Here is a 14624-nt window from a genome sequence, read left to right on the forward strand (position 1 = left end):
AGCCTCTGCCTACAAGGACAGTGCTCCAGGAACCAGGCGTCTCCATCGTGCCGCTCTGCCTACCCCTCCCGGCCCATCAGGATGGACACGAGTGCGCATCCCCAGAACTTAGTTGAGAATGACCTGCAGTGTGGTGGCCCCAAAGATGACCAGGCCCTAATCCTGGGAGCTGTGAAAATGTCTCACCTTACATGGCAGAGGGTAGCTGGGGCGGGTCCCCAGCCGGCTGGCAGTGGAGAGGCACCTGGGTTCCCCGGCAGGCCCGGTGTGAGCACAGAGGGCAGGGGAGGGAGGACACCCAGCATCAGATGCAACACAAGGGCCCCGCCCCCCACAGCTGGCTTGGAACCGAGGAAGAGGCTGTGAGCCAGGGAATGCGGGTGGCCTCGGGAAGCAGGAAAAGGCAGGGAAGTGGCTTCTCCCTGAGCCTGCAGGAGGAAGGCCGCCTGGCCCACACTGTCATCTCCGTCAGCGAGAGCTGGGTCAGGACATCGACCTCCAGAAGCCTGAGAATCGATCTGCGTGTTCCAGCCGCTGAGTGTCTGGCCGTCTGTTACCACAGGGCTGGGGAGGCATGGACTAAGCAACAAGCCCCATGGGGATCTCAGTTCTGCCCCCATGAGTGTGCGACCAGGAGTGACCACAGCCTCCCTGAACCCGGAATTCTCCACCTGGAGCACGGTCCGTGAAGAGCCAGGCTGGCTTAGGGAGACAACACGATAGCGCCTGGTAGGACGGCCTCCTCCGTCAGGGCGGCACCTCTGTCCAGGGACATCACCAGGTGGGGGTGGGCTGCAGGGGCTGGGGAGGAGGGACAGGCCCTGATGAGGGAGAGGTGCCCTCCAAAGATGACCAAGGCGTCAGCATCTGCCTCTAGGCAGGGCTCCCAACCTCGCACCCCGAGTGGGCTGCAGGTCAGTGGAGTTGTTGGTCCCACCTGGCCTGGGACTGGACGGACCCCCAGCAAGGAACCTCAGGGGCACCCAGCTCTCCTTGTGGCTGGGAATGGGACCCAGTGAGCACGCTCTGCCCAGGGTCTTTAAACACAAGTCAGTCTGTCCTCAGTGTTTAAAGCCAGCCCCGATGACCAGCAGAGTCCCCTTCCCAGGCCAGGAGCTGTGGCCCCGGCATGCGCCCTCCAGCCTGGGGAGAGGGGCCGTCTTGGAGCTCAGCAATCAGCTGAGGTGGGGTGTTTGAGCCGAGGAGCAGAGGGCGTCTGCAGAGGTGAGCTGAGGGAGGCAGGTCAGGCTGTCGGGGGCAGTTGCTGCCAGGAGTTGGGGGCAGCCTGCTGGCGGGGGCACCTGGACGGTGCCTGGGCTGTTGACTGACTCAAGGTAGGTTGGAGGGGTTGGGGGAGCTGCCTTCTTGGGAGGCCTTTGCGAGGATAAAGCGTGGAATGTCAGAGATGACTCACATCTTCTGTTCCTGGGTGGGCGGGGTCGGTGACGAAGGGCGGTCGGGAGGAGACACACGTGGGGTCACATAGCTGGACTCAAACCCGGCTCTTTCCCAGGGAAGTGCTGCACTCACGCCTGACGCTCCCTGGAGCGCCCTGTAGGGACCCCACGAAGTGCACCTTCTTCTCGCCCCTCCTGGCCACTGTGTTTCTCAGGAGTATCCTTTGAGGACCCTTTCAGTGAAATTGCAGGTTTCCAGCCGTGGCCAGGGCTCCTGCCAAGCCCCTCAATTAGCTGGAGTCCTTTGGTGGCCACAGGGTGGCCGGCCCACTGCTGCTGGGGGCCGTCAGGGCAGCCCGTCCTGGGAGAGACAATTCTCCAGCTTCCGCCTTCTCTTAGGGGACTGACCTGGTGCTTGTATCATGGAAACTGCTTTTAAAAACCCAGCTCCTGGGGAGACAGGGGTGTGAGCTCAGCACTGGGCTGCATATAGCCACCCCTGTCTCCCTGCGGGACCCTCTCTGCATCCCCAGAGCTGTGATGTCACCGTGACTCCCAGTAGCTGCTGAGCACCCGGCGTGAGCCCCTCCTGGCCAGCTCAGCACTGACGCAAATCAAAGGCTCCCAGCTCCCCGGGCAGCTGCCACTGCCCCAGCTGGCAGCCCTAGGCTGCCCGGGGTGAGGGGGGCTCTGGCGTGAGGCCTGCTATTTGAGGTCATCAGCTGCTCTTCAGGGGGCAGCCAACATGGCTTGTGGGGCTCCCCAGAGGTCAGGGAGAGGCAGATACTCTGAAGCTCCTGGTGGGGACGGTGGCCCCATGAAGCCACAGGTTCTGCCTGCCAGGCCAGCCCCTGCTCGTCTCCCTGTTCCCGGCGGATGGTGGCCCCTTGGCTGTGGTCATTGGCGGTGTGGCCCGAGTGGCACTTGAAGCATGGCAGGAATTCAGGCCAGGGTGCCCACAGGCTGTGAGGCAGGCGCCGTGCCTGCCCCAGGGGTGTGAAGGTGGCACATGGGGGCCATGTGCCATGTGTGGTGGCACATGGGGTCATGCAGGGCAGCCTCTGCAGGGGGTGAGCGGCATGTGGGCCGTGTCCTATTTCCTCTGGGTCCCTTTATACCTGGGCTTCTTAACAGCAGCTAGTGGGAGCTACAGCTGCTGGCCTCCGTCAGCCTCCCAGGGACTGTCTCATCTTTCAGAAGATCCTCGCCAGGGCGGCTCACCGCCACACGGACACACGGAACGAGTCTTCTGAGAGCCACATGGGAGCTGGGCTGCATAATGGGAGGCCTGGGGCGCCCTTTAGACCCCACCAGACTGGAGCCACCATGGAGATCTCAGCTGCCCTGGTGAGCGCCACCCACTGCTCCACAGACACACGCTGCCAGCCTGCAGGAGCAACCTGTGCATCCTTAAATAGGCGCGTGCACACACACACACACAAACATACACATGCACACACACACACTCATACACATGCACAAACATACACACGCACACACACACATACACAAACATACACACATACACAAACATACACATATATACGCATACACACATACTCATACACACATGCACACACACATATGCACACACATACACATGCACACACATACGCACGCATACACACATACACGCACTCATGCACACACATACTTATACACACACGTGCACATATACACATACACATACACTTGGGCTTACACACACATTCCCGTGCACACCCACACAACACACTCACTTGCACATACATATGCACGCACACACACATCAAGCACATGTACAGGACACGAGCACACACACGTGTGCAAAATGTGTGCACACATGTACACAGCACATATGTGTGTATGCAATGCAAGCACACGTTCACATGCATAACGGCAGAGAGCGTGTCTCAGGATTTTGACCGTTTCTCTGTCCCCTCCACGACACACACACTGTGCAGCTGGGGCTGAGACCCTCTGCCCTGCACTCAGTTGGCATGAAGGATCAGGGTGTCCACGGGCTGAGAATGGCCACCTGGGGGCTGACAATGGGGCAGCTGTTCAGGGTCAGGGTGGGTCCAGGTGGGTGGGACGAGACTGGGGTTGAGGACGATGATGTGAGGCCCCCCCCCAGGGCACCTTTGCCCCCGACAGGCAGCCCGGGGTGAGAACTGGCTCCAGCCACCTTTATCCGATACGTGAGGCAGACAGTCACGGGACACGGTGGACATGACGCTCTGCTGTGCAGAGAAACCGCTCTGTGTGCACAGCCCAAGTTCACTGGGCGGTCACAGCTGGGTAAGGATGGGGAACACAGCAGCCTGTGACCTCTCAGCCACTGCAGAGGCCACCTGTGTGGGTGGCCTTCAGAGGGCAGAACCCTCCCTGGGGACGCACCTGCCTCAGGCGCGGCCTGTGCATTCCTGCCTGGAGACAGGAGCTACCAGTCCCCGGCGCTGTTTACCTTCCGTCTGGCGGCCCAGCAGAGAGCCACCGCCCTCCCCTCTCCTGGCCTATATATAAGGCCTTGTCCTGGCTTTGCCCTGGGCGGGGACGCTGCTGTACTGTGCTGACCCTCTGCTCCCAGAAACCCAGGGCCACTGGCAGCTTCAGGGACAACCCTGCCTCTGAATTGGGGCCACGGACACCCAGGTTACTCACAAAATAGGTGCCCTTTTCCATGCAGATAGCTGAAGTGCAGACCCAGAGCTCGTGGGATTGCTGGTGGAAACTTCCAGAAGCATGCAGCAGGATTGCCATGGGGTTAGGAAGCCAAACAATCAGCAGACAGGCAGGTGCATCTCGGTAGGACCCCGCTCTGGGGAGGTCCCTGAACTGCATCTCCTGCTGGGGTCAGGACCAGCCTGCTTCCCAGAGCGCCCCGTGTGCTCCCATAGCAGGGCCGGGCTGGCACTCCTGGGCAGGACCGGCACTCCTGGGCCAGGCTGGCACTCCTGGGCCGGGCTGGTGTCAGCGGGCCCCAAAGACAGGCCCCAGGCCTGGGTGAACTCAGGGGCTCCAGCTGCAGCTCACCAGCCCAGGAAGTGGTTGCTGGGGGTCCTTAAGAGGCTCCATTCTCCCGGTGGGCTCCCCTGCATCCCCTCCGGCTGCCTCCCCCGCTGCACTAGCCTTTGCAGGTGTGTGTGTTTACCTTTAATAACTTAACCCTTTGGCCCAGTCTCCATCTGCCGACGCACAGCAGGCTGGCGGTCGTGCTCCCCACGTGGCAGGGCTGGTGGCCATCACCAGCAAGTGTGGGCAGGGCTGGAGGGGGGACCAAGCAAGGGCTTCTGCCCTCAGGCACAGCAAAAGCCAGAGAGGCGGAAGGACCCCTGCCCCCACCCCACCCGCTGGGGAAGGTGATGGTCAGGAGGGGGCTGATCGAGGGTTGCTCAGTCACCCCAAGATGAGGAGCAGTCGCTGGCACAGCCGCCTCGGCCCTCCTTCTCTCTTGGCAGGTAAATAGAGGCCCAGGTGGCACCCAGACCAAGGCAGACGCCTCTGCTCATTTTGGCCGAGCAAGGCCAAAGGCAGCCAAGGGTTGGTTTCCCTGCCCGCCCCCAGTCGAGAGTCAACATCCCACACACGCCAAACTGCCCTTTAGTTCCTAAGACGTAAATATTTGCTCTTCCGTTAAGAAAATACTCAGCGGTCCTCCTTTAAGTGCAGTGTATACCCCGGCGCCCTTCAAAAGCAAACACTGCTGTTTCCAAACAAGGAGTGCAAGGAGAAAGCCTGCGTGGGGGCTCCTGGGGGTGCACACCGACGCTGCGGGCTCTGCCCCGACCTGCCTGAATGTTCTCCAAGCCCAGGGCACCCAGGAAGGAAGCCGAGTTTGGCGAGAGGGAGACTGGCAGGAGCCCAGGGCCCTGAGACCGAGGCTGGGAGGAAGATCGGGCTGCTCTCCGCCACTTGGTGTTGCACGGCCGCCCCCAGGCCCCACCCGGGGGCGGCAGGCAGGGGCTTCTGCTGGGAGTGAGCCAGTCTCCAGGCCCCCAGCCCCCACCCGACCTTGCCAGAGCAGCAGTCAGAGGGCAGAGAAAGGCAGGGACCTTCAGTTGCACAGGAAGGTCTGCATCTGGGTCCGTTCTGCTTCTCACTGCACATGTGGCCTTGCGCAGCCTGTCCGCCTCTCGAGATCTCAATATTCTCACTTTAAACTAAGGGAACACAGCTTCCTTGCACCGCCGCTGACCTCCCTGGGCTGGACCTAAGCTGTGGCTGGTGGCTGGGGGCCCCAGCTTATGGACTGGGGCGTTTCGTCCCAACAGTGTCTCGTGACTTCACGTCGGTAGGTTGGAATCGGCCATGCTGGGAGTGTTTGCACCACGGGAACTGGTGAATGCTGTGCGTCAAAGCCAGGTCACCGCCCACCGACGGCCCTGGTCTCCCAGGGCCCCTCTCGCCTCACCTTGGGGGCTGCATTACAGACTGGAAAGGCTGCTTATGAGCATGGCACATGGTGGACCCTTGCTACAGGAGTCACACGAATGCATGAGAAAACCAAGGAACAACTGAATAGACAGCTGGGGCCATGCTCTCTCACGTCTCCACTTCTGCCGGGTGTCAGAACTTCCCAGGGCAGGGGAGCAGCCCCTTCCCACAGGCATCTCTCCCTGCAGAGAAGACGCCCCAGAAACCCACACTGCAGCGAGGGCCAGCGTGGCCCCCTGCCTCCCTGGCGACATCACAAGGGCCTCCATGCAAGTCCCAAGCGGTCCATCCGAGGTGCAGGGAAGCCGGGTGCCCGCGCTCTCTGACTGCTTCCTGTAGATACGTATCGAGCTGCCTGGGAGCCTCTTCGACCTGGGTGTGTGCGTCCCTGTGCCCCAGCCCCCTCCGGAGAGGCTCCTCACTCCCAGCTCAAGCAGATCCTAGAAGTTGTCTCTGATCTGGACCCCGCTCCAGACCACACTCTGGCTGGGAGCCGGGTTTGGGGCTGACCACGTGAGAACTCCCACGGACGTGGGTTAGCGCCTGCTCCAGGGCTGGCGGAGGAGGAAGGGTGCCCGGCCGCCCAGACCCCACCATCTCATCTGGGCCTGAGGCATCGGCCCGCAGAGCCCCAGTTCCCCGTCGCCGAGAGGGTATGAGAAGCGTGTGCCCAGCCAGAGCTCAGTGAGGACGACCTCTGACTTCCTTCATTTTAATCACGTCTTTCCAGGGGCCTCTGGAGCTGATGCAGGGGCTCCCTGGGCCTCTCTAGGGGACAGTGTTACTGGCTTATTTTCTGCCAACAGGAGCAAAAGATTAGGCAACACATCACCCTGAGTTGGGCGGGGTGGAGGGTCGTGGTCAATCCCGTATCCACCACGTGATCCAATGAGAACAGGCAAGGCCCGGGAACTGTGAGTAAGAAAGCGCTCGGGCTGAGTCACGTGCAGCTGAGCGGGGGCCTGTCCTTCCTGTCCTCCTGGATGGAGGCCCTCCCTGCGGGTTCCTCTGCTCTTTCCTGCCCCACTCCTTCTTTCATGAAGCAGCCCCTCCACCCCGAGCCTGTCCTGGCCCCATTTTAACCCACGCTGCTTCTTCCTCTGCATCTCTGGCTGTCAGGGAGGCCCCGCTCAAGGGCCTGCTGAGGCTCCACCACCCCCTCCTCCTGCAGAAGACATGTTTTTCACCTGCCCCAAGGACCAGGCAGCCTCCTGCCAGGCCTCCCCCTGCATCCCCTCATTCCAGAGGGCTCCCAAGGGCAGAGGCAGCTTGAAGTGAGCGTCTGTGGACGGCAGGCCCGCCTCAGGGGAAGCACACACAGGCTCTGCTGCACTCGGAGGCTTCCAGCCAGCCGTGGACGGTCACCATTCCCCAGCTCGGGGCCCACTGAACAGGGCTGGGAGATGGTGCAGTGGGAGGCCCAGAGGAGGTTCTAGGCCTACCCAGTACCTGGCCTGGCTGCTTGGGGAGGGGCAGCCACTGTCCCTGGAGGGCCTCGTCTGTGCGGGTGCCCCCACGGCACACACCATCCAGGAATTCCAAGTCCCGGGTCAGGAGTGTGACCACCGCCTGCCTGCAGCAGGCTGAGGAGTGAGGTCTGTGAGCCTTTGCTTCCCGGCCTGCTGCTGACTTACCCCTCTGCCAGGAACGACCACGCTGGACTCTGCAGCTTGGGCCAAGATAGCAGTCCCAGAAGAATGTTTCTGAGATAGGGTCTTCGTGTCCCATGATCCGGCAGCTCCCAGACCACAGTGAGGGGGCCAGGGACCACCCAGGTCTCCGTACCCCTTGGGGAGCTCTGGCGTCACCCCCATCTGTCTGTTTTGGGTGTAAAGTGGAGTCCACAGGCCCTGGAACCCACCAGCAGTTTTGAGTGGCTGGGCCTGACCTTTCAGTTGGTACTGAGAAGCCCTCGGCCCTCACCCCCAACTGCCACCAAGGAACCCTGTGGTTACCTAAACCCCAGGCCATGTGGCTGGGACCCCAGGGCCCGCCTTTCCCACCAGGCCCACTTGCAAAGGCAAGGGTGAACCCCCAACCCTACAGAAAGCAGGCACCCGCACCTTCCAGATGGCTCCCCCACTGCCCCAAAGCACAAATGACTGGTCAGACCGTGGGCCTGAGAACAGACGCCCCATCACAACCCAAGCACACACTCCCAGGAAACAAGCCAGCGGCCCCTCCATTCATCTGAGGAGCACACGAAGAGCTTAGACCTTTTTGAACTCTTCTTCCAGAGCATGTGATGGAGCCACACCTCACTGTTCAAGACCGACCGACAGAGGACAGATGTGCCTGGCAGGTTCCTTCCCCGTCCACAGTGCCGGCCCCCAGCCCGGCTCTGGCCCTGTTAGCCTGGTGACCGTCACAGCCCAGGCAGGGAAGGGACGTCAGGACCCAGGGACCCCAGGACACCCGGTGGGAAGAGGCCTCAAATCAGGCAGGGCCTTAGGATGCTTGCGGTGGAATGGGATTTTAGCGTCTACTTTTGAACAGTCATAGATTGGTTTTCTTGCATATTAGAAAAAAATGTAGGGCATAAAAACCACGACGAAGGATTCTGGCATTTTTGGCAGAGGCTGAATTCGTAGTCAGCCTGAGCCGGCTGAATGAGAAACACCCGTCTCTTGGAGGGGCCTCTGGTCGGCACCCCGTCTCCGGAAGGGGCCTTGCGGTCTCTGCCCTCAAAGTGCAGAAGCATCCACAGATGTGGAAAAGTGGGTGTGGCTTGTGCCAATTACACTGTGTTTATGGACCTGGAAATGGGAATTCTGTTTAACTTTCATGTGTCACAAAGCCTTCTCTTTTCCCCAACCATTTGTAAATGTTAGAATCATTCCTAGCTTGTGGTCAGACATGGGCAGGCTGAATTTGGCCATGGCCACAGGTGCCACCCTGGAGCTGCCTCATGTTCCCATCCTGTGGCTGAAGGACAGACCCAGGACGCTGAAGGGGCTCGCTGGACGCATGTGGCACTGGGCATCAGGGCCTGGGCTGGAACTCCTGTCCCCACCTCGGGGGCCCCACCTGGGGGTCTTGGGGGTGCGGTGGGCACTGGGTATGGTTGCTGCCGGCTGTATCCCAGCCCCTTCCTGCCTCTGCCACATCAGTAGGGGGCCTCTTGCCTCTGGGGCTGGAGGTATCCCGGCTGGGCCACCATGCAGACTGTGGGGTGCTGTGTGGCCAGGCCGGGCCCAGAAGGAGTCCCAAATGTCAGAGGAGAGAAAGAGGCCCCACCCAGAGGGAAACAGGGTGGACAGTAGGAGGGGGCTGGGTCGCTGAAGTCCCCAAGGCCGGCTCCTTCAAGGACTCTCAACAAACTTCCTTTTTGGCTTAAAGTTATTTTGAGTTCAGGTCTCGCTTCCTGCAATTCTCAAAATCCTGAAGCTCCACGAGTTTGCCCTCGCCGCCCAGAGGAGACCCCGGAGGACCCAGCCAGGCTCACTGTGAAACAGCCCCTCGGAGCTCATGGCCCCTCAGGACAGGGTCCCAGCCGCAGCGAGGAAGCAGGGCCCAGGGGCTCCAAGGGTGGCGCCTGCACGCATGCCTGGGAGAGCAAATGACACACCCAGAAACCCACCAGCCCACTTGGACCTGCCCTGGGCAGCCCCGAGACATGGTCAGGGCGATGCAGACTGCGTTTCCCTGCGAGAAGCCCGCCCCTCACCACGGCGAGCCCTGTCCCGATCCGCTCTTGACCTGTCCAGGGCACCACGGCCTTGCCTGGGAACTTGTTGCTGAGCCAAGATGAGCCCAAGGAGCCGGCAGTTGTGCCGGAATATTCCAAAGGCCCAGAGGCTGTCACAGACAGTGACGTGTGATAAAAATCCCCAAATGTTCCAGGACAGGAAGCCAGTTTAACCCTTCCCGTTTACCCCGCCTGCGGCTGCTGTAGAAACACAATCATTTCATAGCCAGAAATTTACCGACGTCCTGCTGGAAGCCATGAATGTGCCTGACAAGAGACTGAAACAGCGGTTGGCAGAGACATGAATAAAAGACCAGTGTCTTGGTTTAATCACCTGGCTCTAAGGTGGCGCTTGCTTTTTAAGGGATCCAGGGGCCAAAGCTGGAGGAGGAGGCAGCCAGCTCCTGGGGGGAGGGTAGCCGGCTCAACCCCCTGGAGGCCCTGTGTGACCTCAGCCTAGGAGGCTGAAGCTGCAGCCTCTGCCCACTGCGCCATCCTTGCGAAGGGGCTCCCGCAGAAGGGTTGGCTGTGCCCACTAGGAGCTGGTCCTGCTGCTCACTTCCATGGCCCTGGTGGCCTTCATGGAGACAGCCATTGTGTGCAAAGGACGGAAAGTAAGAGGCCCCCTCCTTCTCTCACCCTTTGTGGGGAAACCGAGGCAAGTGACACCTTAAGTCCCAGGGCGCTCTGTGGAGCAGCTGAGACTCCAGCTTCCATTTTCTGACTTCCAGGGAGCTATCTTTCTAGGTCCCTGGGAGGGAGGCTGGAAAGGGCTCGTTTCAGAATACGGTTGGGCAAGTTTGTTTTTCTCAATTCTGCATTAAAATTGTCTCGAGTCATGGTTCTGATGACACATGAATGTGTGTGTAGATTGTGCGTATATGCAATGGAGCCAATCGATTAGCAAAAGCATATTTTGCCATAATTTGTAACCTATGCTCCCTACATAATGACTGCGGTTTAAAGCACCTGAGAAAATGTTAATAAAAGGTATGAGTTCTCTGGCAATCTGGCTGACCTCCTGAAGGCCACGACTGAACCAAGGTATCTTCCAGAGCAGGAGCTATCTGGGTCACCTCAGGATAGAATCCCAAGGTAATTCTCTTCCTCCCCAAACTCACTCTTTCCCGCCCCCTCCCCCCTCCTCTCTCATCCTCTCTCCCGCCCCTCTGCTCTCACACACACACTTTTCCAGACGGAGCTGACGGCGCAGTCCCTCCGCCCCCATCACAGGTGGTCCAGCATCTGGCAGGAGGGGCGTATGGAGAATGGTCCCCCCCAGGACTTTTGGGGAGGACAGCCCTTAGCACAGGGGTGCAGTTAAGCCCTCTGACACCTGTCCCCCACCCCGAGACATTCTGTGCCACCCCCAGGTGGCTGGGAGCTATGGATCCCAGGGAACTGTGACTGTCAGAGACCATTGGGACCGCAGGACCGACTCCCACTCAGACCAGATCTGGGGTGAGAGGGGGTGGAGACGTGGGGATGTGGGGGCCCTGCATGGCTCAGGGCTCTGAGGGGACATTGAGCATAGGTGACCAACCCTCCCCATTTGGCCTGGACTAGCAGGGTGTGGGGCTTTTAGTGCTGAAACCAAGGAAGTCCCGGGCAGATCAGGACCCTGGTCCCTCGCTGGGATGGAAGTCTGGGAGATCTGTGGGGTGGCGGGTGTGCAGATGAAGGCTGAGGCCCCAAGGCCCCACCATCCCAACTGTGTGCTTGCCACCTGGGTCCCACCCCTTGGAGAGGACAGTGTTGAGTCCTGGCCAGTTCCCCCTGCCTGGGCTCAGGTGGCAGCTGAGAGGGGTGTGGAGGACACCTGGCCCCTCACACTGAGCCTGCTGTCCTCGGAACAGGCTCTGCAGAGACCAAGACACCAGCTATGGAATAGCTGATAGGCACCAATATGCCCTGGGCCCTGTCTCACCACTAGCATCACCACACACACTTCTCCGACGCTCCTCCCTCCCGGCTCTTCGAGATGCCAGCAGAAGGAGACACAGTGCCCGAGTGATGTGCAGCGGCACGGGGTCCCCCAGCCCGGCAGGTGAGAGAACGGGGCCGGCTTGGTTCAGGGAGGCCCCAGCTGAGGCCTCCTGTCCAGGCAGCCGGTAAATAGTTTAAATCCTTTTTTCCTCACTATCAAAATAATACATATTCATTGACAGAGAATTTGGAAATTAAGAACATTACAAGAAACAGAAGGAGAAAAACCCACCATATATTCACAACACAAAGAGAACACCTTCAACATTTTGGAATGTTTCCTTCCAGCATTGCCTGTTTCTGTGCATTTCAAAAACATAGTTAAATAATGTCTGTGTGTGTGTGTGTGTGTGTGTGTGTGTGTGTGTGTGTGTGTGTGTGTTCTAGCTGGGTTTTCTGAGATTCTGTATTTGTCTTTTTGGCATCCATTTGTCACAGGGCCAATTGTATTCACTATAATTTTCTTATTTTCTGTATTCTTGATGCTCTGGCATTCAAAGACTCTTGCAGACTGTCCCTCCCAGAGCTGGCTGATTTCAGAGCCAAGATAGGGCTTGGCCTAGAGCAGCCAGTCCTGTCTATACCCCAACCATCCGCTTCATCTCACTGGTACACCAAGCCAGCATTTTCCCTGCCCTAGATGACCTCAGAGCCAGGCAAGCAGGGACAGCCCCTACGCCCCAAAGTCCAACAGAATTGTTCATGCCAGCCAGTCCTGAGTCTACCCGCCTGCCCTGCCTTTCCCAAGGAAACCCCAAGAAAGGCTGGTGCCTACTCCTCCCCAAACTAACTGGCATTTCCTGGCCCTGTGATGCGTCGCAGGCCCCTCCTCTTGTAAATACAAAAATCTCCTTTCTGGGATATGGCCTCTTCGCGTTGACACTCAGTCATACCTCCGTAAACTCACTCCCGGGTTTGATTTTAACCCCACGTGTGCGTGTGTGTGGTGTGTGTGTGCATAAGCTTAGCTCACGTTTGTTGCTCAACACTGTAACCATGGGGGTCTCCAGTGCCGTTAGCATCCTTTTTCAATGTAATTTGTAATGATTGTATGGCATTCTCTCCTATGGATATACCCAAATCTCTCCTTTTGCTATATTGGATTTGCTTCTGTACATTTTTTAATTACCCTGAGATGAATCTTTTTCTGCATCAATATTTTCCCATAGCTTGGGATCTTTCCTTATGTTAGAGGATCAGAAATAGAAGCCCAGGATTGAAGGAACGTCTTCAGGTTGCAGATTCACGTTGACAACATCCTCTAAAAGTCTACCTGCATTTACGCTCCACTGAGGATGATCAGTTAATACAATTTCACTAGTTCAACAGGGAAACTGTAGTGTCCGGATGTACATTCTTTTGTTGACGAATGAGGTCGAACTTTCTTCCCGGTGTTTAGTGTTCCCTTATATTTACATCCTTGAGAACTCCCTACTCCTCTTCTCGACCTGCCTTTCAAGTTGAGGTATGTTTTAAAAAGGTAAACTGAGGCATAATATACTTTTTAAAGAGTTGACTTGAGCAAACCACCATTCATGAATCAGGCAGCCCCACACCAGAATGGATCAGGAGCTCCACCAAGGGAACACAGGGGCAGCTCTCCTAGGACATGCGCAGATGTCAAGCAGAGAAAGTGGTCTGATTGGTCGCAGGTACGCCATTGCCTGTTGTACACCAGAGAAGGTATCTGATTGGCCACAGGCATGCAGTTGACACACATAAAGCAGAGAAAGTATCTGATTGGCTGCTAGCAGGCAGAGAAGGTATCTGATTGGCTGCAGGCATGCAGTTGCCTGACATGCACCAGAGAAAGTATCTGATTGGTCGTAGGTACAGCAGTTGCCTAAGGTGAAGCAGAGAAAGTATCTGATTGGCCGCATGTACGCAGTTTCTTTATTGGGTCCGTCCCATTGGAAAGTCCCTGGTTATGTAAGTTTGTTGGCTGCCTCTGATTGGTGGAGCTTAAGTTCTGTTTCTCTTTAATGCAGGCATTTACAAGAAATAGCTCAGTTTCGCTTACCTCTGCAACTCAAGCTGGGGTGAGATCACTTGCGAGGACTGCCTGGCACCATTCGCTTGGGCCTCTTGGGGCCTAGTCTCCGATTTAATGTAACGGGCCACTGAGACTTCTTTATTTCCGTTTGGAGAAGTTCTTTGCTTATGAGGGGATTGTTACGGGTTGAATTACGTCTGTCTCCATTCCACTCCCCCATTTCTATGTCGAAGTCCTGACCCCCAGTACCTCAGAATGTGACTCATTTGGAAATAGCTTTTTGCAGATGGAATTGGTTAAAAGGAGGCCATGCTGGAGTAGGCTGGGCCCCTAATCCAATGACCACTGTCCTTCCGAGAAGGGGAGATTTGAGCACAGACAGGTGCTGGAGAACGCGTGTGAAGAGGGAGACAGGGACCGGGATGACGCTTCCACCAGCCAGGGAATGCCAAGGGTCCCAGAGGCGCAGAGAGAGGCCGGGGCAGACGCAGTCCCCCAGCCCCGGAAGGAACCAGCCCTGCCAACGGCTTCAGCTCGGGGGTCCGGCCTCCAGCAGCGCAAGAGAGTGAATGTCTGTTGTCTGGACCCCCGTCTGTGGTGCTTTGTGCAACAGCCGCGGGACACCCAGGGGTCAAGCCTGACCAGCCGGATGGCTGCCAGCATGGTCTCGATTTTCTCCATGGGGGATGGAAGGCAGCTCTGCTCCCCTTTCCTGGCAAGGCCCCTCGGAGCTGGCCCTGCACGGTTCATGTCACAGAGGGGCCCGATCCCCTTTTTCTCCCCAGAGAGGAGCTCTAGGGGGTTCCCGACAGCCCAGGACGACATGACGCAAGCAGCCCTCAGTCCCAAGTCCCCTCTGTGACACCCGCTGCAGGTGCCAGGCAGCTGTTGGGGGGCGGCTGTTGGGGAGCCCATCTGAGGGGCTTCCAGCCACAGCTGGTGAGGGTCCCTTGGTCCTCAGGGATGCATCCTGGATAGGAGTCCAGGACTGCAGCTCCTGCTCACCTGGTTGGGCAAACTGCGTATAGAACGAGGGCCCCAGCACCAGGAAGGGCCCCCAGCACAGAGGATGTGGGATGAGAGTGGTACTGGGCAGGGTGGAGTTTCAACAGACAGAGGTAGAAGCCTCAGGCCAGCACAGCCC

At 58.3% G+C, this 14624-nt stretch overlaps 4 annotated features.

The window, feature by feature from the left end:
* Nucleotides 10835-11494: an enhancer, noted in NCBI's record as "H3K4me1 hESC enhancer chr21:44770223-44770882 (GRCh37/hg19 assembly coordinates)". NCBI's record gives its function as "activates a minimal SCP1, AML or CMV promoter by ChIP-STARR-seq in primed H9 embryonic stem cells {active_cell/tissue: H9 hESC(primed)}" and the evidence as "EXISTENCE:reporter gene assay evidence [ECO:0000049][PMID:30033119]".
* Nucleotides 13354-13653: an enhancer, noted in NCBI's record as "active region_18537". NCBI's record gives its function as "activates an Ori minimal core promoter by ATAC-STARR-seq in GM12878 lymphoblastoid cells {active_cell/tissue: GM12878}" and the evidence as "EXISTENCE:reporter gene assay evidence [ECO:0000049][PMID:35858748]".
* Nucleotides 13794-13883: an enhancer, noted in NCBI's record as "active region_18538". NCBI's record gives its function as "activates an Ori minimal core promoter by ATAC-STARR-seq in GM12878 lymphoblastoid cells {active_cell/tissue: GM12878}" and the evidence as "EXISTENCE:reporter gene assay evidence [ECO:0000049][PMID:35858748]".
* Nucleotides 14054-14293: an enhancer, noted in NCBI's record as "active region_18539". NCBI's record gives its function as "activates an Ori minimal core promoter by ATAC-STARR-seq in GM12878 lymphoblastoid cells {active_cell/tissue: GM12878}" and the evidence as "EXISTENCE:reporter gene assay evidence [ECO:0000049][PMID:35858748]".

Source organism: Homo sapiens, chromosome 21, assembly GCF_000001405.40.
Source record: "Homo sapiens chromosome 21, GRCh38.p14 Primary Assembly".
Taxonomy (NCBI): domain Eukaryota; kingdom Metazoa; phylum Chordata; class Mammalia; order Primates; family Hominidae; genus Homo; species Homo sapiens.